Source organism: Homo sapiens, chromosome 11, assembly GCF_000001405.40.
Source record: "Homo sapiens chromosome 11, GRCh38.p14 Primary Assembly".
Taxonomy (NCBI): domain Eukaryota; kingdom Metazoa; phylum Chordata; class Mammalia; order Primates; family Hominidae; genus Homo; species Homo sapiens.
In genome coordinates, this window is record NC_000011.10 from 23,661,577 (window position 1) to 23,686,376 (window position 24,800).

At 36.9% G+C, this 24,800-nt stretch overlaps 2 annotated features.

Moving 5' to 3' along the window:
• Positions 18,713–19,276: an enhancer, noted in NCBI's record as "H3K4me1 hESC enhancer chr11:23701835-23702398 (GRCh37/hg19 assembly coordinates)". NCBI's record gives its function as "activates a minimal SCP1, AML or CMV promoter by ChIP-STARR-seq in primed H9 embryonic stem cells {active_cell/tissue: H9 hESC(primed)}" and the evidence as "EXISTENCE:reporter gene assay evidence [ECO:0000049][PMID:30033119]".
• Positions 19,277–19,838: an enhancer, noted in NCBI's record as "H3K4me1 hESC enhancer chr11:23702399-23702960 (GRCh37/hg19 assembly coordinates)". NCBI's record gives its function as "activates a minimal SCP1, AML or CMV promoter by ChIP-STARR-seq in naive H9 embryonic stem cells {active_cell/tissue: H9 hESC(naive)}" and the evidence as "EXISTENCE:reporter gene assay evidence [ECO:0000049][PMID:30033119]".

Consider the following 24,800-nt stretch of genomic DNA (forward strand, 5'->3'; position numbering starts at 1 on the left):
ACAGCTGCGACTACAGGCGTGTGCTACCATGCCCAGCCATTTTTTTTTTTTTTTTGTATTTTTAGTAGAGATGGGGTTTTGCCACTTTGGCCAGGTTGCTCTCGAACTGCTGACCTCAGGTGATCTGCCCGCCTTGGCCTCCCAAAGTGCTGGGATTACAGGCATGAGCCACCATACCCGGCCACCTAATATACTTTCTAAGTACACTATCAATCTTTTGGCTTCAACAATTATCACACTTGTAATTCTACATTTATTTGTGAAAACATTTACTTAATGTCTTCCTATTCCACCTTACTGTGATCCCTCCACTCTAATCCTTCACCCTGTTCATTTTGTATCCTCTCCATAGCATTCGGCACTTTGCTTAGCACAGAATATATGCTCAATAAATGTTTCTGAAATTGAACTGACTATAATGACTTATTTCAAAATGTGTTATAAGTAATATTACATGATATGCAATTAAGACTAAACCTGCATTTGCAGTTTATTTGGTAATAAGTGAGATAATAACTTCACCAGGTTTTAAATAAAGATAACAAAAGGGGAACAAGTAAATGGCTTTCAGTATAGGTTTCCATTTGGTTTTTAGGGCCACCCTCAAGGATAAGATCTGAGGCCTTTGAAGCAATAGGTTTTCTTTGCTTGGTTGGTTGGTTTCCCCTCATATCTTCATGAAACACAGAAAGATCTTTCACAAGGAGAACATAAGAATTTAGTTTCTTTTGGGGACCTTCTAGGATAATCATATTTCAGAATGAAAGACAACAGAAAAATAAAATTAGTAAAGACTATATAGTGACATGCAACAGAGGCTCAGCAGACATGGTGACAGCCCAACAGTGTCCTGGCTGGACAATAGTAGGAACTAACACCATCCAGTAGTGAATTCTTACATATGAGACAGTTTGGAGTCCCTGAGAAAGGAGAGATGATTTTCACACAAATGAAACCCACACATTTGTAGGTAGGGGCTGTGAATAATGTTACCCACGGGGTAGTAAGGCTATTTAGATCACAAAAGAGACTTATGTTTTTGGAAAGGTAAATGAATTCAGAGTAGTTACCAATAATGAAATGAGATATGATACTTAAGAAAAGCCAGCATACATATTCTTCCTTTGCTGAAAAGAAAATTTTCACTTGACTGGCAAGTAATGTGTGGCGAGAGCAGTAAAATCTACTGTGCTGGTGGTATTAATGACTGGGTATTAATGAGTGAATAACAACTTCTGAATTCAGAAACACCTGAGTTGGAATTCTGATTCCGTGTGAAGCCTTGGTTAATCTCTCAGATTCATAATTAACTAATATTTAAATTTGAGATAATGCCTTTTAACTTAACCATGACATTAATAAATAAAATAATTTGTATCTGATATCTCAGAGTTCTGAATAGATAATCAGTACTCAGTTAATCTTTCCTTATTTCTTATTTCTCTAATCCTTGGATTTCCCAAATTGAACACTTTATGGCATTTGGATTTCTGATACTTATATTCAAATAGCTATTTTAGTTTATAATAGAACAAGATGGTTTTATGTTCACAGTTCTAAAATGGGATCACTTGTGTTGTCACATATAGCAGAATTTCTTTCTTTTTTAAAGCTAAATGATAGTACATTGTATAAACATAACACATTTTAAAATCTATTCTTCCATTGATGAACGTTTAGGTGATCTCAGTTTCTTGGCTATTGTAAATAATGCTACAAGACGTGTGAAGTGCAGATATCTCTTCAACACACTGATTTCAATTGTTTGGATATATACTGATATGGTTCAGTGGTGTCCCCACCCAAATCTCATCTTGAATTTCCACTTGTTGTGGGAGGGACCCGGTGGGAGGTAATTGAAACATGGGGCAAGTTTTTTCTGTGCTGTTCTCGTGATAGTGAATAAGTCCATGAGATCTGATAGTTTTAAAAAAAGGAGTTGCCCTGCACAAGTTTTCTCTGTTTGCCTGCTGCCATCCATGTAAGATGTGATTTGCTCCTCCTTGACTTCCACCATGATTGTGAGACTTCCCCAGCCACATGGAACTGTAAGTCCAATTAAATCTCTTTCTTTTGTAAACTGCCCCGTCTTGGGTATGTCTTCATCAGCAGCATGAAAACAGACTAATATATCTACCTGGCAATGGGATTGCTGGGTCATACAGGTCTATTTTTAATTTTTTGTGGAACTTCTGTACTGTTTTTCATAGCGGCTACACCATTATACATTCCACCAACAGTGTGCAAGTGTTACAATTTTTCCACATCCTCACCAACACTTGTTATCTTTTGTTTTTGTTTATTTTAATAATAACCATCCTAGCAAGTGCAAGGTGATATCTCAATTGTGGTTTCGATTTTCACTTTTCTGGTGATTGGTGAAGTTAAGCATTTTGTGATGTAATTGTGGGCCATTTGTGTATCTACTTTTGAAAAATGTTGAAGTATAAAGTTTCAGTTATGCAACCTGGATAAGTTCTGCACATCTACCATACAGCATAGTGCCTATAGTTAACAATAACACATTGTATAGTTAAATATTTGTTAAGAGGGTTGATCTGAAGTTGTGATTTTTTTTATTTTCAACTTTTATTTTAGATATAAGGGATTCATGAGCAGGTTTGTTTTATGAGTACACTGCATCTAGATAGTGAGCAAAGTACCCAATAAGTCATTTTTCAACCCACAACCTCCTTCCTCCCCGAAGCAGTAGTCCACAGTGTCTATTGTTCCCATGTTTTTGTCCATGCGTACTCAGTGTTTAGCTTCCACTTATGAGTGAGAACATGTGGTATTTGGCTTTCTTTTCCTGCATTAATTCACTTAGGATTGTGGCCTCCACTTCCATCTATGTTACTGCAAAGGACATGATTTCATTCTTTTTTTATGGATGTGTAGTATTCCATAGTGTATATATATCACAATTATTTGTCCCAATACACCATTGATGGGCAGTAACAATAGGTTACTATTGTGAATAGCACAGCAATGAACATACAAGTGCACATGCCTTTTGGTAGAATGATTTATATTCCTTTGGCCATATACCCAGTAATGAGATTGTTGAGTTGCATGGTCTTAGTTCAACTCTGTCTTAAGTTCTTTGAGAAATTTCCAAAAAGCTTTTCACAGTGACTGAACTAATTTACATTCCCACCAACAGTGTGTAAGCATTCCCTTTTCTCTGCAGCCTTGCTAATATCTATTGTTTTTACACTTATCAACATACACTTATTAATAATAGTCATTCATATTGGAGTGAGATGATATCTCATTGTGGTTTTAATTTGCATTTCTCTGATGATTAGTGGTGATGAACATTTTTCATATATTTGCTGACCATGTGTATGTCTTCTTTTGAGAGTTGTTTGTCTATGTCTTTTGCCCGCTTTTAATGGAGTTGTTTGTTATTTTTGCTTGTTAAATTATTTAAGTTCCTTACAGATTCTGGATATTAGACCTTTGTTGGATGCATAGTTTATGAATACTTTCTCCCATTCTGTAGGTTATATGTTCCTCTGTTGACAGTTTCTTTTGAGGTGTAGAAGGTCTTTAGTTTAATTAGGTCTATTAGGTCCCACTTGTCAATTTTTGTTTTGTTGCATTTGATTTTGAGGACCTAGTCATAAATAATTTCCCAAGGCCAATGTCAAGAATATTGTTTCCTAGGATTTTTTCCCAAGATTCTTAAAGTTTGAGACCATACATTTAAATCTTTTATCCACCTGGAGCTATTTTTTGTATATGGTGAAAGGTAATGGTCCAATTTCATTCTTCTGCATATGGCTAGTCAGCTCTCCCAGCCCCATTCATTGCACAGGGAGTTGTTTCTCTATTGCTTATTTGCCTCAACTTTGTGGAAGATGAGATGGCTGTAGGTGTTGGCCTTTATTTCTGGGTTCTCTATTCTGTTCCATTAATCTATGTGTTTGTTTTTCTACAAGTACCATGATGTTTTGGTTACTGTAACCTTACAGTATTGTTAGAAGTTGGGTAATATATTGATTCTAGAGTGCCTGGGCTGATTATTTCTCATCTGAAAGGCTTGGTATTCTTTTAAATGTGGTGTAAGTTGAGTACAGTCAGTTGTCTCCATTTCTGAATATTTTCAGAGGGCCAATGCTCTGTACACAGTCTTAATTTGAGGCTGAATTCATGCCCTTGGTTTTACAATGGGGTATGTTAGCAAAGTATTTTTGATGTTGTGGTTTGGGCTGTGATCTGAATTATCAAGGATAATGGGCAGTAGACAGGCTGTATCCTGAACAATCTAGGATAATGGGCAGTAGACAGGCTCTTACTCTTCCATGCAGCTTCTCTGTATTTCTTCATATTTGTGGCCATTCTCTGCAGTGCAAAGGAGACAGAGAGGTGACTCCCTTACCAGGTCTGCTCCTGGGCCACGGCAGAACCCCCTTTGATGAATAGCACTGTACTCACATTTCTTTTGTTAGATGTTGTGAGCTATGGGGCTTCCTTGGGAAGTAGATGGGGCAGGGAGATAGACCACACCTTTTCTGGGCCAGCCCTGTGGAGAGAGGCATGGCCCAGGCCCACAGCAGCCCATGAAGCCATGCAACTTACTCCCCTCAGTCCTCTGAGAGGGTGGACTTTCCTACTAGAGTACAAGCCTCAGGTTTTGGCTCAGCATTCCCAAGCTGCACACCACAGCCAAGGGGCACCTGGATCAGCTAGTGGCTTTATCCTCTGGACTTCCAAAGTTGGGTTCTGGGTGCACTGAGGGATTTGAAATGGTGCTCCCAGGCTGCTGGGAACATACTCTGGAGGAGCAGAACACGTAGGCTGGGCACCAGAGGCTACTCTGTGCACACACTCTTGTGACGTGAACAGGCAAAGGCCTGGGAAGAGCTGACAGGGAGGAGAGCCTGAGGAAGACGTGTTCCCCAGCCCCCATAGAGGGGAAGCCAGTCCTGACTTCCTGCTGACTCAGTGGTCAGCTGGGGCTAGAGCTTCTTGGAGGGAGATGGTGGGTCTTGGGAGATGGGAACCTATGACCATAATTTGCAGGAGCTGCGCCATGCACAAAGGCCTCTAGCTCCATGCCAGCTGAAGCTCTGTCTCTGTCTACTCTCTGGGTATATCCTCCAGTGAGTTAAAGCTTTCATGGGAGCTGTGGGGCCCCCATTAGCTAGGATCTTAGAGGTCCATGGCAAGAGTAGGTGGCCTGATAGTCCCTTTCACTTACCCCTACCCCAGGAGCTGTTCAAGACAAGGAAGTAGCCCTGGCATTCAGGTACCCTGCATAGGGTCCTCAGCCTCTACCCTCCTCAGCCTCAGCATCTGTATCACATTTCCATCCACTTTCAGGTGATTTCTCTCCAAAGATCTCTTGAACTTACGTTAGTTTACTCAAACACTTGGCTTCTATTGGTGTGAATGGTGCTTCCTGGCTGCATCTAGTCAGCCTCCTTCCCCCTGTTAAGTGTTCCTAAACACACAAAAGAAGGAGGCAGGAGGAAACTTTGGAGGTGATGAATATATTTATTACCTTGATTGTGGCTATGGTTTCATAGGTGTATGCATTTGTTCAAATTCACCAAATTGTACCCATTAGATATGTTCAGTATTTTGTGTAACGATTACTGCAATAAAGCTGTTAAAGATATGTTCATAAATACAAACTCAAATATCTCATTAAGAAAATATTTTATTTTCCTTCTACTTATATAATATTTTCAAACACATGATGACTTATTTCATTAACATTCATATACACTTCTGAATTCCATCTAATTTAACCTAAAATTCTGGTTAAATATACTTTTCTGTATGACCAAGAAAAGGCAAATTATTGATAAGTGCTGAAATACTGCATGCTGTTTCTGGATTGCCTAGAAAACAGAAGCAGTTCTGAGATTTTCATAGTTGACAAGACCTGAAGAGCTGAAAACTCAGATGAATAACTAAAATAAATTTTAGACAATAACGGTATTATAAAACCAAGTCAAAGTATTTCTTTCGGAGCTTAGTGTAAAATAAAAATATAAATCAACTAGGAAAACAAAGAAAATAAGATAAAATATTAAAAAGCAAACTTTGTATTCATTCTGGTTGGTTGCTTGGTTTCCTTGATTATAAAAAAACTATATTGGTGAATAGGCAATGTAGATTTATAAGTGTTTGATGCTCTACATTTTAAAATTTGGATAGTTTGAGACAAGTACTAGTAAGTTTCACACAAATGCAAGATTTAACCTAAATATGTTCCCTTGAATAGAATGAGTCTATAACTTAATATCCAAGCGAGATGTTTCTCAGAGTGAAAGGTGATTCTGTTAGAAATCATTCTGTGATAATCAGTGCATACTAGGCCAGCCCTTGGCAAACCATAACATATACTCTGCCTGGTTTAAATTCTAATAAGAGTAACAACTGTAACTGTTACTTACCAAAAAATACTGCATGAATTGCACGGGGTACCATATCCATACTGGATTGTATTCCATATGTCACTACTCACATAACATTCAATGTAAATTCTGTACCCTAGATTTATGGACTGGATCCTTACATCTAGTTTAGCACTTACAAAAATCTCCACATAGTTTAAATTATTTATTCTTCATAACAATTCTGAGATAGTTCTTATTATACTCACTTTACAGGTGAAAAAAATAGATAAACATCTTTAATTAATCTTTCCGTAATCTCTCAGCATGCAACTGGTTTGAGTACAGAAAAAACTTTCCCGCTGTTCCATACTTTAACCATTACACTATAGTTTTCTCTATTAATGCTTTTTTTCCAGCATGTCTTTCTCAGTGCCAAACACAATGCTCTGTAGGTATAAACATTTAGAAATTCAATATACTTACCCATAATTTATTCTATTCAAATTATTTCCATTGTATTAGTCAAAATTATGCATACAAATTATACAGTAGTGAATTGACATGCACATAGAATAGTTTGAATGACAGACTGCATAAGTCAGAGCTTCACTACTGCTACTTTTATTTTGAATTTTAAAACAAATTACGTATTCTTAGAATACATTCTTATGTTTATTATTCAGCTACATAAATTTCCACTTATTTAAAGATTCAAAACCTCTCTCCCTTGACATAATCATTCAGTTGACAGTAGTTTGACCTAGCAGTCACTACAAAATGATCTAAACATACTCCTCCAAAAATGTTCCTTTAAAAGAAAAATTAAATCAATCTCAGTTTTGAAACTATATCAGACGTGAAGTCAAATGTGTGTTTAGTATTCCTGAACTTATGACTTTTAAATTAATTTTAAAATATTTATATACAATACTCTGCATTCAAATTGAAATCTAAATACAAAAATCACCCATGAGATGAGTGGGTGCATAATGGGAAGAAAGTAGCAAGTGAAGGGGGAAGTGAATTAGTGTATTAAGTTTTAAATATTTATTATGAGGAAGTCTCCTTCCTATTTTAAACACAGTTACTGTCCAGTAGTTGGGTAATGCAAAATGATGTCAATGTGGCAAATATTGAAATATTTACCAATATGTATAAAGCTTAGGGAAAAGTTTCAACTTCTCAAGCTCTTTAAATAATATTTAGACTTAACTAGCAACAAATAGACTCTCATCTATCTATCTATATTATTTTTCAGAGAAGGAACCTTACTAGTTGAGAAACATATGTGAAGGCTGACTCTAAATACATGGAGAGATGTAAACATACAGACATACAGATTATTGAACTTTGTTTTTTATATCTATTACTTTTTCTATTACTATATCATGTGAACAAGCATAGGGAGATCAACATACTTTTTAGCCAATGCCTTGACTTATCCCAGTGTACACAACAATAATCAAGCTCTGTTCTACACAAGCAATATAGTAAAGTTGTTAAGTGGGGACGGATAGGCAGTTTAATGTTATTTTAATAATAAATGGGTAATTAAAGGGTGGCAGTGTCCTTGTCATATAATGAGTAATTTTAGAGTTGTTAGAAAAAGTTAATAAAGCATATATTTTTAAAATATAGGAGTAGCCACTAAAAGCATAGCAATAAAATATATGTTTCCTAAAAAGTAAGCAAAGTTTAGAAAAACTTCATTAATCTATTAAAAAATAGGAAAATATACAATAAATTAAATATTAAATAATGAATTAATAAATGAAACAGATTTGCTTATTAAATTATGCCTAATAAATTTTTATAATAAATATTTCTACATGTTCAATATGTTTAGCAATCATTTACAGAGTGAATAAAGCACTTGGTAGGACATAAGCCAGTCTTGGGTCCTCATCCTTGCCTTGACTTTAATTGGTTTTGTGCTGTGTGACCTTAAACAATTCATCTCAACATCTCTCAATTCCATCTCTCATTCTAAGTGTAGTTCTTAGGCTGGCAAATATGAAAATATAAATAAATACACACACACTCATATATATGTATATGTTCTCAATTTCCAGAAGTTAAGCAAAGGATTCAATTCATTAATACATTTTCTGACACACATATATATCCTATACATATATATTAAATTTTTAAACATCACTATACATTTTCTCTCGCAAGATATTTAACAATTACCTTTTGAATTCTAAAATACCTAACATAACGTTTTCTATTTGGAAATTTATGTCCTATATTTAAAGGTTAAATCAAGATTTTTTTTTAAATGGACTTTTGTGTAGAGAAGTCAGACTAGACATGAATAACAGCAAAATTAGTTTTCGTGCTGCTTCTTTCATCTCTGAATTGCAAGGATTCACAGCCTGAAGAAATAAAACAGTTAAACTATTAAGACTGTAGTGGATATACAAATACCTTGACAGAGAAGAGGGGATTGGACACAGGTGACTGGTAAGAATTGCCTGGTAGAGCACATTTTTAGCTCCTCCTAATAAGTGTTGTAGTAGTGACTGGCCTGGAAAAAAGACCACTCCAGGTGCTTGCTTCCTATAGTCCTGGCTCCTATTGGTAATGACCAGGGTAACCTTCCAATAAGGTAACCTTCCAATGTACAAGTAAATCGCTCTACTGTTCAAATTATATGGCTAAAAGCACATCATATGTTAACAACTCAAATATGTCATTTGAAACTAAATCAGAACTACTGTGAAAAAGTATATCTGATAACTAATAAGACTCCAGATATGTCAGTAATTTTATGGCACAGTATAGTGATCAGAGGAAGTTCTATGAAAGATTGGCATTGGCTTGGCAAGCTCAGGTCTTAAAAAAGTGGATATTCTTCCTAGGGACTCTTACCATAAGAAGTATAAAGAAACTATAGAAGCAAGATTGTAAAATGAAGTGCCTATTAACTCCTGTACCCTTTTATGTATTATCTTGCTTTCTTCCTTGTGTGTTCTAGTCCTCTCTTTAATTTTGTAAGATAGGACAGTCTTCTAGATGATTATTTTCTTAGTAGGAGTTATTGTCAACACCAGTAGCCCCAAGTCTGAAGATACAGGAAACTCTGTTGAAACAAAGTTGTACATCATTACATTAGAAATTTCAACACACTTAAAACATATATATTATTTAGTTTCCTCTTGATGCATGTTTTTGATTGCATATGTGTGTGTTTACAATACTTCATATAAAAAATTCTAACTTCCTAAATGTAGCTATAATTCATGCCAGTGTCACATTTTTCTCATGTTTTTCTATGCTTTTTGAATAACAGATTAAGCTAAGAGAATTCCAGGCTCACTGGCTAACTAGAATTACTTTTCCCTGCAGAAATAAAAAACAATTTACTTTTATCATTGCAAACTAAGCTGCTTCCTTGGAGACTGACTCTCATTCATAGCAATGTTGAGTACCAGATACAATATTGCGTTTGAAAATGGTATCAATTGCCTTTGAAATTCTTATTACCCAGAGAATGTTTAGAATAGATAACTGTGCATCCTGCCAAAGTTAAAATACTAAACTCTCATATTTCTCTTTGACCTTTTATCTTTAACCTTTTATCTTTATGGTATTTTGGACATAAAGATCGGTGCCCCATAGATAACCAATGCCATATCTTCCAAAATGCCTGTTTATGTAGACAAAGTCTCTCTATTTAGATCTCTTCTGCCAAGTGAAAAACATATATACAGGGAGAATCTCTATCAATGCATTTTATGTTTTCTCCAATTAATGTGCTAATTTTCTCTGTCAATTTTCCCTTCTAATGTGAAGGAAGAGCTACACCATTACAAGCAATGAGCCTGGCTTTCTCATACAACTTTTAAACACAAAAGAACAAAACTGATTCACAAGTAAGTTTCCTAAAGATTAAAATAAAAGAGAGCCCAATAAAATATGAACTCTAATGTTTGCATAATTTTTCTTAAAAATACTCTGGAGAAAACCCTGGAAGTATAATTCTTAGCAACTGTTTCTGGCTCTTTTTCTATTACTGCCATGTCTGCAAATTCATCAGCTCCTCAATTTCAGAAAAACAAACAAATAATCTGAACTGCTAGAACAGCGTCCTTATTGCACTTGTGTGCAAGCCACATTTGACAAACTGCTTCATGTTTTTGAGTCTTATGCTTTGAGATGGTATTAAGAAGATAAGACATTTTCAATTTCTAGCCCCCTGAGATTCATATGCTGTAGCCCGAATCTCCAGTGTGATTTGTATTTGAAGATTGGGCTTTTGGGAAGTAATTATATTTAGATGAGGTGTTGAGGCTGAAGCCCCCATGGTAGTATTATCCTCCTTATAGAAAGAGGGAGACCAGAGCCCTCTCTCTGTCATGTGAGGATATATCAAGAAGATTGCCATGTGCAAACCAGAAGAGGGTCCTTACTAGAACTAAATGGAGTGGCACCTTGATCTTGGACTTCACAGCTTCTAGAACTGTGAGAAATAAACGTTTATTGTTTAAACCATCCCATGTATTGTACTTTAATTTTTAAATTTTTATGGATACAAAAGAGCTGTATAATTCGTAGGGTGGTATTTGGTTGTAGCAGCCTAAACTGACTAAGAGAGAGTCCTCACATACCCACCCTTAAGAAAATACTTATATTTAAAGACTGTAAAAAAGATCTGGCTATTAACCAGGTACTAACATTTACTACTTCTGTAGGTAGGCTCCATCTCTGCCTTGTTAGTGGATCATAGTCATATAAGGTCCTGTAAAAATAGCCATTATATTGCTTTATCCAAAACTGGAACAATAAATGTTCTCAGAATTTGTTTTTAATAATTTCTGTTTCAGTAAGATCTTACAATTAAGAAATAGCTTGTAACAACACAAATAATTATAACTATGATATTACACATTGAGCATTCCCAACCCCAAAATCCAAAATTTATAATTTTCAAAAATCCAGAACTTTTTGAGTGCTGATAGGACACCATAAGTGAAAAATTTCAGACATGAACACCTAGTACCAACTTTGTTTTATGCATACAATTATGAAGAATATTGTATAAAATTATTTTCAGTGTATGTGTATCAGATGTATATGAAGCATAAATGAATTTTATTTTTAGACTTGGGTCCCATCTCTAAGATATTTCATTATGTTTATGTAAATATTTAAAAAAATTTAAAAATCTAAAATCTAAAACAGTTTTGGTTCCAAGCATTTCATAATGAATAGTCAATCTGTATTTAAGTTTAAGATACATGAAATAATTTTTAGGCTTTGGTTTGAAAAACAGAAAAGCCTGCCAGAATAACATAGTAATAAAAATTACATATGTAATTTTCTTTAAGATCTTTATAAAACAGTGACAATATAAAATATGTAACAAAAGACTGTGCAGGTTTTTTGTTTGTTTGTATTTATTTATTTATTTATTTATTAGAAAATACCCTGGTGTGTAAGAATAAAAATAAAACAGATTTTTGTTCCTGTTTAGAAAATAGATTATTTTTCTCTTTGATAATCTTTTTTAACACTAAGTTATATTCTCAATATCTGTCTTGTCTGAGCCTGAAAGCCACATAACTTAGAAGTTGATCTTTCCTCATTCTTCCCAAGCAATGTGCTAGAGGTTAAAGATCCAGCAACCCGTCAGTCATGGATAAGGTTGTCTAGCAACTATCACCTCTCCCTCTTTGTAGCTGACTCAATACATCAATCCCAGGAATAACTATGCTGTAGATCAATTATTAAGACAGACAATGAAGACAAAAGAAAAAAATGTTAGTGGAGTTCCCTATGGGCAAAATGTTACCCACTGTTAATGAAAAATTACTCTAAAATCTTTTTCTCTCTTTTATAATAATTTATTGATATTGTTATTATTATTAGTTTGTCTTTGAAAACACATATTCATAAAAGCTTTAGGAGAGAGTTCATCATTGATCTACCCCATAAGTAGTCTTGTGCTAAGCGATAACCTTGTGGTCTCTTTATACAGCCTCTTAGCAACATCTGGTTGGAAGAAGGGAAGAAATTTTAATGCAGATTTTCATTATTTCAGGAGCCTTGAGACAAAAGACTTCTCAACTCATTTGAGAAGTTTTGTTTAAGTGGTCCTTATATCTCAAGAAAGAGTTTATTCAGCTTTTGTCATATTTAATCATTTGTGTTTTTAGGCTTGTGCCATCTTATTGGAGCCATTTCACAAGAAGTGGACAGATGAAATAAAAGTAAATAAATTTAAAAACAATTACAGCTTATGTCCCATGTCCATGATAGAGCCAACTGCCATCTATATCATGAGCATCTAAGAATATACGCTGATACAGTTTGGGTTCTCCAAGAAACAATATCTCAGAGAGAGTTTGGTATAGACTGAAGATATTTATTAAAGAATTCTCTTGGCATAAACACCTGTGAAAGGAATGGTCAGGAAATAGGATTGGGCAGTGGGGGTAGAGGAGAGAGAGAGCTGTAAAGCAGTTAATTACAGAGGGAGCTCTGAAGCTAAAATGGGTCAACTGAGTTGCTTAGCATTTGGGCTGAAATGTCCAGACCTTAATATTTCTACCTAGATGGGTAGCTGGATATGGGCTATATTCAGAAATATATGATACTGGGCAAAGTGTCAGTGCCTGAAAGGACTGAAAGCTGAAGGCTGTTATCTGACAGCACTTCTAGTAGCTGGGACAAGACATCTTTCTGTGCAGAGGAAGTGGTGTCAATGTCCATTGTCCACCACATATGCTGTCCAAGGTTCACTGCAGCCACCTTCCATTTTTCTATCTGCTATGATGCTGTATTTTACATTCTTCTATAATGCTTGCACTGAATATTACTATTCCTCAAACTAAATTACTGTTCACTCCCAACTAGTATAGACTTAGTATGTTATAATCTGAATTCCTCTTAAATATCCAAAGATAAAAATATGTATAAATTCCTTGTGTAGCTTATAAAATTATGTAGGAAATCACATTAAAGTTTAAATGCAGTCAATTCTTATTATTTGCAGTAGTTAATTTCTATAAATCCACATCCAACACTGAATTAGTTAATACTAGATGATCACTCCTTGAAAAAATAGAGGATTAGGTTTCCTTAAGTCTCTGGTTATAACATTCATCAAATCATCATGGTAATCAAAACAGCATGGCTATGGTAATCAAAACAGCAAGGCTATGGTAATCAAAACAGCATGGTACTGGTACAAAAACAGAAACATAGACCAACTGAACAGAATATAAAATCCAGAAATAAGATGATACCACTGCAACTATCTGATCTTTGACAAACCTGACAAAAACAAGCAACAGGGGAAGAATTCCTTATTAAATAAATGTAGCTGGGATAACTAGCTAGCCATATGCCGAAGATTGAAATTGGACCCCTTCCTTACACCATATAAAAAAATTAACTCAAGATGGATTAAAGACTTAAATGTAAAACGCAAAACGATAAAAACCCTGGAAGACAACCTAGGCAATACCATTCAAAACATAGGCATGGGCAATGATTTCATGACGAAGATGCCAAAAGCAATTGCAACAAAAGCAAAAATTAACAAATGGGATCTAAGTAAACAAAAGTTTCTGCATAGCAAAAGAAACTATCAATAGAGTAGACAGACAACCTACAGAATGAGAGAAAACTTTTGCAAACTGTGCATCTGACAAGGTTTAATAGCCACCATCTATAAGGAACGTAAACAAATTTACAAGAAAAAAACAAGCAACCCAAATAAAAAGTGGGCCAAGGACGTGGTCAGATACTTTTCAAAAGAAGACATATATGTGTTCAACCGTCATATAAAAAAATCTCAAGAGAAATTACAGAAATGCAAATCAAAGCCACAATGAGATACCATCTCACAACAGTCAGAATGGTTATTATTAAAAAGTCAAAAAAAAGCAGATACTGGTGAGGTTGTGAAGAAAAAGGAATGCTTATACACTGTTGATAGGAGTGTAAATTAGTTCAACCATTGTGGAAGACAGCATGGCAATTACTCAAAGACTTAAGGACAGAAATACCATTCAATCCAGTGATCCCATTACTGGGTATATACTCAAAGGAATGTAAATAACTTTATTATAAAGACAGATGCACACATTATGTTCCTCGCAGCACTATTCACAATAGCAAAGACATGGAATCAACCTAACTGCCCATCAATAGTAGACTGGATAAAGAAAATGTGGCACATATACACCTTGGAATATGATCCAGCCCATAAAAAGAACAAGATCATGTCCTTTGGAGCAACATGGATGGAGCTGGAGGGCATTATCCTTAGCAAACTAACACAGGAAGAGAAAGCCAAATACATGTTCTCACTTATAAATGGGAACTACATGATGAGAACACACGGACACATAGAGTGGAACAACATACACTGGGGCCTACCAGAGGTTGTAGGGTGGGAGGAGGGAGAAGATCAGGAAAAATAACTGATGAGTACTAGGCTTAACACCTGAGTGATGAAATAACTGATACAACAAACCTCCATGACACAAGTTTTCCTATGCAACAAACCTGCACTTTTATCCCTGAACTTAAAAGCTAAAAAAAAAAAAAAAAAAAAAAAAAAAAAAAAAAAAAAAAAAAAAATCAACACATAGCTGTTTTCTATAATGTTTTTGTTTAAAGATAATGCATTTAATAAATATTGTTAATTCTTTAAGAATTCATGGTCAGTGACACTATGATTCATGCCTGAACGAAGCCTTTCTCATTAAGACACATCACAGGCTTCTTGTTCTTAGGAACACTAGACAGCAGTTTAAATAGTAAAATCACCAACAAAAAGTATATAAATGAAAAAAAAACACTAAATAGAACGTAAAAAGATAATTGTTTATAACATAAGAGCTCAAACAGGAAGGCAGGACATCTCCTCATTCAACCTCAGGAACACATGTAGCAGGCAACTTAAATTTTTTGCCTTTCTGCACATTTCTATAAACAGCCATGAAATCACTGTGAGTATTGATTTGAAAGTTACAAATAAGTTTTTGTGAGTTGGCAGATTTGCAAATACGTTCCCCTTGAATAATGATCAACTATACAAGTGAAACTATTAAGTGCAGAAATTCCATTGAAATTAATGCAGTAAGAGATGTTTCTTGGTGGAATAGTGAAAGATGAAATCCCAAAATGGCCATATTCCTCTAATTTCTCTGTTAATAATGCATAGAATGCTTTCTCCAATAAGAATATTTTAGAAAATTAAATCTTACATTTAAAATTATTGTACAAAGATCATTATTTTGGTAAGATAAAATTGCTAACCCTGTAAAGGTGTCTTTATGAAGGTAAATAAATTGACCAATACTTTTGGTCAATAAAAAATTAGGCTTTATTGTTACCATTGTGAATCAAGAATAGAAAATGTATATTATATGTTATTAATATTACTAGTAGTGAAATGAAGTAATAGAAGTTGGTAATCATAAAGATGATATCTATATAGTAATAGCTACTATTTATTCAGAATTTATAATCTTTGTGGTACATACTATCATTATCCCCATTTTATATGAGATAATTGAGTCACAGAGATTTAAAAAACTTGCCCACAATTTCACAGTCTGACTGGCATTGTTGCATGTAGTATATAAGTTGACTATGATGACCACATTTCTAAGAATTTACTACCCTATATATCTCCAGTTAGGTTGTACCACAAGAGACATTCTTGTGTGAAAGCTGGAGGGCAAAAATAAATTAGCAGTCGATTTTTCCAATTCACACATTGCCCCTTATCTTCTACGTTTTCAGCAACTTCACTTTCCACTAGATGTTTCTTTGACTTCTTGAGTCCCATGCGCGGCATGTGTTTGACTCCTGTAGACACCCATACTACCAAGGTTACAGGCAGTAAAAATGGGTTTGTATCTTAACACTCCAATATTAACTAATAAGTAAGAAAGCCTGATTTGAATTCAGATAGTTTCCCTTCAGACTTAGCATTCATAATCCATACTGCTGTGGAATAGTCACTTGCCTTAGTTGAGCACAAAGCTTCTCAAAATAAAAACTGCATTTCCTGGAGGGTTCCTTTGTATCCACTTGAGGTCCCATACCTCACTTCTAAACAAAACCTTACTTTAAGAGATAGCTGGCAAATGACCTTTGTGCCCTTTAATTTTATCCTTCCTTTGTTCTTACATCCAAAACATGTAAATTACCTTTTAGGAGCATAAGGATTAGGGTCATATCCTTGTAATAGAAAAGGGGTAAGCAGGAAGGAAGCTGGAACCCAGATTATATGAGGTAGAGCACCATAGCAGCTCTGAATCACATATCTTCAAATTTTTATAAAAATGAGAAACAGGATTCTATCTTGCTAAACTGCTATTTTGCGACTTTGTTACCTGCAGTTGATCCTATCATTGGACGCAGTGCTCTCTAAGCCTTGTGTCCTCTCTCTGTGATGGGAATCTTCATAATACCAACTGTATTGGGCTGGATTGTGAGGATTCGAGTAGAAAATGCATGTAAAGTGCTTAGCACATTGCCTGGCACATAGTATATTGCTGGAACACGTGCTGCACCCAAACAAGACAGCAAACAGAATTTCAATCACATACAGAGTCGAATGTGAGATAGCAATGAAAAAAAAATATCCTGTCATTGTACTTATGAGAAAACTGTCTTAAGGATATTGACACCTAAAGTACTGAATCAGAATTACAACTGAATTTTAGGCCCCAAACACTTAATAACTATGTTTATCTTGCTTTTCAAACATTAGTTGAGAATATAGAAGTTCAGACAAAGATGATGAAAGTCTGAACCAAGAAAGTCGGGATCAAGAGTAGAGAATTATTTTTATGTGAAATGTTATGGAATAATTGAAAATGAAAATTATGTATTTATTTGTCATCAAATATGTCATTTTGTGTAAATTTTGCTTTCTGAAAGCAGTTTTTATTGGTATAAAGTATGTGGCGATTTACTTCTTTGTATAAATAATTTATTTTAGGCTTAAATCTGTTACAGGATCCTTGTTGTGTCGCTTTTCTGGCTAGAAACCTGTGGCTGGTGGCACCTTTGCCCGAGTTTCACTTGGGCCCACTGGGCTCATTCTGCCCATTCAGCCCATGCAGTTGCGTGCAGTTCATGCTACCAGTTTGTATCTCATGGCTCCAAGGGAGACTGGAGTCAGGCACCAAGCAGTGAGGGGTGTGTTTGAGTGAGTGTGGGGTCCAGCCACTGCATAGTCAGACACTCCAGCTGCTGCCATGAGGCAGGCAGCTCCAGGTGCCAGCATGGATGCCAGCTCTGTGAGGCTGCAGCTGGACCAGGTGCACTGCAAGCAGCTTTCCTGCCTGGCACCAGGGAATGTGGTAGCACCTGGAAGCTTAATACGTGAGAAACCACAGGGCCTTAAAGGGGGAGTCACAGCCCAGGCTCAAAGAGCTCCCAGGTCTGGGCTCCCCACAGGGCCATAGCTCTTCTCTCCTCTTCAGCTACAATGTGGTGAGCAAGGGGCATGTTTCAGCTGTGTTTTGTTACAGCTCATTTAGCCTGACCATTCAGTGGGTCCCGAGTTCTTGTCTATGACCAGGAAGAATGAGGTACAGAGACAAGTGGAGGGTGAGCAAGATGAAGAGGAGCTTTATTGAGCAATAGAACAGCTCAGGGAAGACCCGCAGTGGGCAGCTCCTCTCTGTAGTCAGAGTGTCTGGGTGAGTCTTCAGCTCTTAGCAGAGAGGGTAGCTCCTCTCTGCAAGCAGGTCATCCCAACAACTGTTCAGTTCTTAGTAGAGAGGGTAGCTCCTCTCCGCAGCTGGTCATCCCTTCCTCTCCAGCTTTCCCCTGAGAGGAAGCCCTAGAGCGGGTGACTCCTCTCTGCAGGCAGGTTATCCTCTCTTCAGGCAGGTTATCCTCTCTGCAGGCAGGTTGTCCTGTCATCTGAAGCTCTTGGCAGAGGGCAGCTCCTCTCTGCAGCTGGTCGTTCCATGGTTTCTCTGTCTTCTGCTCTGCTCTGGCTGATCCTGGAGATTTTATGGGCCTCAGAAGGGAGGAAATGCATGCCAGTTGGTCCACCACAAGTCCCCATTCCAGTCCACAGGACTGGCAGCCCGGGCCCCAGCCTTCAGGCTCTCCCTGGCCTGAAGGTAGGGCCTCACTGGGGACCCACCCCATTCTGCCCAGGAGCCCATGTACCTCCTGCCACTCTCCATGGCGCCTAGGCTTTTCGTGCCAATGGGCACCTGTAGGCCAGCTCCCAGATGCCCTCAGCCCTGCCCTTGGCTTCCCCCACCAACGCTTGTCAGTACCCAAAGTCTGGAGGGCCTCAACATACGCACAAACGTCCAGGCTATGACGGCGCCTGGGCTCAGCCCCAACCCTTCTCTGAGATCAGAGCTAGGGCTGGGAGCAGGGAAAGGCCAGGCAGTGGGATCAGGCACCTCCAAGCCTGCGAGGGAAATGTGGAGACCGGTCTTCCTGGGCCCCTAAGAGTGCAGAGAAGCCTGGGTCCACAGCCTGCACTTGGGTAGCTGCAGCTATGAAGGGAAGTGGGGTGGAGCTCCTGCCTGCTTCCCCACTCCAAGAGCACAGGAAAGCCTGGGTCCACAGCCCTGACTTGGGTAACTGCAACTGGGGCCAGGGAGGGTGGTGTTGCTGCCTGCTCCCGCCTCTCACTGGCTCTGTGGAGTGTAGCTCAGCCATGTCTCCTCACAGCCTAGGGAAGAGGCTCCAGATCCTCACCAGGCCGGCACCCGGGACAGCAGCAGTGTCTCTGCAAGCTCCACAATTGGCTCCAGTGCTCAAGGGCAGCCAAGAGCTGCCCCCGACCCAGCTTGCAGCCCTGCCCAGGAAGGGGAGGATGGCTCCGGAAGCAGATTGAAGCCCCCAGGCCTGGCCCTCCGGAATGTCAAGACTGGCAGTCACCCCGATGTGAGGTTCCTGTGGGGCAGACGCCGGGGACATGCCCCCTGGCGGCCCTGTTCAAAGCCTTCTTTTTCCTGAAGCGCAGGAACCCCTGCCCTCGGTGAGGTGGGAGCGACTGCCCTGCTGGCAGGTCCCTGAAGTGGGCTCTGATCTCACTTCCCTCCCCAGTTGGAAGTGCAGCCCCAGCTCCGCCTCCTCCCTGTGCCCTCCCTGCAGCAGCAGACAGCAAGAGGGACAACATGAGGCCAGGGCAGAGGCTGCAGGCCTAGGGGTGGTTCTGCAGGTCCCACCTGGCTGCCCAAGAGTGGGAGTGGCGCACTTAGCTGCCTTGGCGACGCGGGGCACAGGGGTTCCACCTGCAATCACCACTGCCATGGCTGTCCTCACCTCCTCGCTGCCGACTGCCTGCTGCTGCAGCTGCCTTCCAAACCAAGATACAATGTTTTACAGAAACAAGCAAAAAACAAACAAACAAACACTCCGTTGTTTGCCTAAACAATAAAATAAACTTAAATGAGAAAAATAAGCTTGTGATTCAAAGCAGCTATTTTACCAGAAACTTCTCTGACAACTCATTTTTGCCATGACAAATGAGAGCAAAAATTTTTATTCTTTTTTTAAAAAGATGAATATGGCATTTTATTATTTTAAATGTTTTATTATTTTATTCATTTTTTATTTTTTCCTGGTGTTGGTCAATAAAAAATAAACATTAATCTCCATAAGAGCTGGCATTTGTGAAAATAAGAAAATAGATTACATGGCTTTCTTTCCCCAGACACGACACTTTTACTTAAAAAAAAAAATCAAAATCAAGATGGTCGTCCTCTCTGGATAAATTATGTATGATCTCTGAAATTTTTCCTCATTTCTTGCAACCTATATTTTGAAAAGTGTGAAAATAAATTTTCTTGTGTTATCAGTGAGCACTCAAGGGCTTTCCAAAATAATCTGTGCCTTTTGGGAATGGCTGGTGCTTTGTTTTTTGTAAAAACAATAATAATAATTAAGTAATAAAATATGTGGAGACATAGGATAATAAGCTTTTGAAAATGACAGACCAGGCTAGTTTAATGTTTCCTGACTAATTGTCTAGAAGAATAATACTTCATGTTGCTGTTGCTTAGTAGAACATATTTTTTCTGTAGGAGCTCTTCTATATCTTGATTCATTTTTCTTTACCTTCTATAAAACCTCTGTAACCAGCATGCTTCTAGATAATAGCTTCAGTTTGCTCAGCTCTGCTCTGTGGTATAGAAACTAATAGATTTAGTAAAATCTTACATTTCTCAATTTCCTTCTTAAATTCAGTCAGGCTCTAAGGACATACACTTTTGTGTCTAAACCGCTTGGTAATCCCTCAATATGAGAGCTTCCATCCACTTAGTTAGAACTGCTATAATGAAAAGTAAATTAAAATCTCTATAGAAATCATGGGACTTGTTGATCCTTCCCCTCACTGATATCTTGGGAGGAATGTATATTCTGAAATACTGGTTTAATACAAGTTGCTGCAGAGCTTCAAATTAGTAAGTTCTTAAATGATTCAGCCCATGTTTCTTTTGAAAAATACATAAATACTGCTACATGTCACTTTAATAGCACTTTGTTCGCATTAAGAAAAATACTTAGGGCTTCTTTATTGCTATATCTTATTGGCTTAGCAAGGAAATCTGAACTTCGCTTTGTTAAATTTTAATAATGAACAGTCTGTATATTGAGATGATACATGGAATATTTATAACATATACAAGGACTGGAATTATGAGGATAAGGTTGTGGCTGGGGGATCAAAAAATGGGAAATTTATATAGTTCAGAAAATCTACTAGAAATGCACATGCTGAATTCTGATGTATTGTTTCTAAGGTATGTGATACCAACTGACATAAAAATACAATTACATCATGAATACTAATCATTTCTGTGGATATTTACTTATGCACAATTGAGATTCAGGTAATTAAGAGAATGGAAGTTATTTAAATGAGAAAATATAAATTCTAATATTACAGGCCTTGGATATTAGGCAGTGTAATTCTTCTAACAGCAGGAGAGGCTGAAACAAGGCTGAAGAGAATCTGGGGCTTAAAGCCTGGTGTAGACAATATCCTAGCAGGGTACTTACAACATCGGAGTGCCATGACTAGCTTCTGAGAAAAAAGAAAGGCCATCAAAAATGGGATATCAGGGAACCTCAAGTTATCTGAGGATTCTAGAGCATTTATCACTGTAACATGGTGTAATAGACACTGAAGAGAGCAAAGTATCTTGAGAAAGGAAGTGGGTCACTCATTGCATTTAAAATCAAGAAAGTTTGAGGAGAACCAACCCTCAAAAGCACTAGGAGCATCTAATTTTGGCAAAAGTTATGTAGAAACTACTATGTCCCCTGGAATGGGTAGGTAACCTGGGCCATGTGATCATCACATACTGTATTTCAAATTGAAGTGAGAACTAGAATGAGGAAGACGGGACCAGAGTCACAGTCCTACTCATTCCATCTTATTAGCAAGCAAATAAGACGGCAGATAATTGGCATAGCTAATAGGAGAGAAGTGAAAATCTCAAACACTTCCCAGAATAAAAGTGCTAAGCAAAGACTAAAAGGATTCCACAATTAATACAAACAGTGGAACATGAGTAGAAAATATTCTCAAAAAAAAAGTATAAGGCAGGAAAAATGTTAAATGCAAAATGGGGATGATGTATAAACCTGAAAATCTTCCCTTAATCAATCTGGTTAAGACATTTTTTAAAAGTTTTCCAGTGAATCGGAATCAGAAATTAGCATTGGAACAAGTAGTATATCTGCTTTGAGGCATGGTATATTTATATGTGTAATAAATACTGAGTAGTATAAGCAGACTCAATTGTTCTAGAAAATCATTTTTTATCAGAAATTTTCAAGAGAAAGAAGTTGCTCGATATTGCTTTACTGTGGTGTTATATCCCAGTTTATTTTAAATTATATTTCTATATAGAGTGATGCATATTTTTATATAGACCTGTACTGGATAAACCTCACTAACCACTTAAAAGAAAATTACAAAACATAAAAAAAAGTCCAAGGCTATTACTTACAAAAATTTATTTTAAAAAGTTTTTATCTTATTTGAGTGTTAGATTATATACATGCAGCTAATAATACAGGGTTAAATCTGATTATGTGTTACAACTATATACAGTTTCTAAGATTATGCTAGAGAAAGTAGTGAATGTGGCAGGCAGAATGCCTGAAACACATAAGCCTGTCCTCTCTGATTATTCATTTTTTTGGACTCCCCATTGTTCTTGTCCCACATCTGACTTGAAAAATGGCATCCTTCTGTATCAAGCTGTTTACTAACAATTACAGAGAAAATTACATCTTTGTCAGCACTTGCTCAAATTCAATTGTGGCTGAATCACAAATTCAAATTGTAGGAATATTTTGTTTCCTCAATGTGCATTTAAAAAGCCTGACAATAGTTATGAACAGCATTTTTCAATGTGGGTCTGCAATTTTTTAGTACATGTTCATTCTTCTCTTAAATATACCATCTGTTCTGTCTCTTTGTTCTTGTCTCAATGTCTGGTGTTTTCCTGAATTGGAATTTGAAGGTCCTGTGGTGAGAAGGGGTCCTTATGGTTGATACTTGCCTCATTTCAGCATCAAAGATGACCTTCAGATTGGATATGAGTTGGAAATGATACCCAGAACAAATAGGCCAGTCATGGCCACCTTGAAATACCATTAAACTCAAATTTGTCTGCCACTTGGGGTTTTAATATTTAATCACTTCAAGCTATTACTAGGAAACACAGAAATCACAGTCACACTGGTAGTGAGAGGGAAAGGAAGCACTTGTGACATTTTATTGGGATAATGTTTCTGCTATGACTCTGAAGAACTCCATAAAACCCCATGAAAAAGAGATGTTTGGTGGGTCCAGGATTTCTTTGTGTCAGGATTCTAAGCACTTTTTTTTTTACTAGCTCACAAGTACGCAAAAAAGTTGGCTAAAGTTTGTCTGTATTATACTGATCTCTATCTATAGTAAGTTCTTCTTTGAATTGTTCTGCCATGAAAGATAAAAACAGTTGGACTCTGCTGTCCTGTGTATGACTTGTCAGTTTCTGAAGTTTAATTAAACTAAGCTTCTTTGTTTCCTCAGCTCTTTGGTAAGTTTGAAAAACTATGACCTATCTAGATTTTTCTGGAGCTTTGGAGAAAGTAATGCTCTTTTTTTTTGACTTGCTAAGTCTGTATTATAAACAGAACTCCTATCACGGTTATTTTTAAAGTTCTTTTCCAGTACTTCTAACACCTAAGCCACCTGTATGTATGATTACATGAACTTTTTTTCTCTTGATTATATCACATTTTGCTGCTTCTTTATATATCTCATAACACTTTTTTATGTCTCAGGCATTGTGTAAATTTTCTCACGGCAGAATATATGCTTCTTGCTGGGCTTCTCAGCACTCACAAGCGTTCACAAATTTCCCATGCTTTTTGCTTTAATTCTCAGCCATCGACTTTCTACACTGTGTGAGACCTCTCTTTGTTTTTAGAACTTGATTGCCAGTGTTTCCTGGGACTGGGGGTGGGAGGTGGGGAAGTAGGGGAAAGGGACCTCCAGTGGGGGTCCCTGTGGCGTTCTATTTGCTCTCCACTGCCATTCCCGACTTTCTGCATCTGAGGAGATTTCTTTCACTCTATAGCTCTTCTCCAGACGTTAAAGGGATGCTATAGTCCCCTGACGAACTAGTATTCCTCAGGGGGAATTTTTTTGACATCCTCTGCACTCTGGTTAGCATTTAGTGAACTTCTATTTACTCAGTTAAATACTGCTACAGCACCATGCATCTGTCTATAGTACTTACTATTTGAATTTTACATTTACTTCTGTGATTATTTGTTAATGGTAATCTCCTTGACTAGGTTATAATTTCTATGAATTTAGGGATTTTGTTTTTGTCTATATTTTTGGCAATTTTTCTTGTCACTGCCATTGAACCCAAGGCACAAAATGTTATATATAGCACACTCAATATATATTAGAAGAATGAGTAAATATATGGTATAATTACATATAATAAATATATTAAACTACCTATAATTGCTAAAATATAGGATTATTGAAACTATAAATTAACATTTAAAATAAAGAAATGAGAAAGAGACTAGAACAAAAATAAATAAGCTGTAAATTACTACATATTTTCCAAAGCAGATGTGATTTTTATTTTGAAGTTTCTTAACGGCTAATCAAAAAGAAAAGCATTACAGAAAATATGTATGATCTTAGAGAAACTTATTTCCTAGCAATTAGCTCTGAAAGAAATCTTTATACCTGGACTTCTCACATGATAAAATTTTCTAGAAATTCTTTTCTTCCCCCATTTTCTGAGAGCCTTAGTACATAACTTTGGTATAATAATAATAATTACAACAACAAGAAACATAGGAAATACTTCTGTGGCACCAAATCTGAGGTCATGCAATTGTTCTACATTGTTATCTTATTTAATCATCCCAACTAGCTATAGGAAGAAGGGACAATTATTATCCACA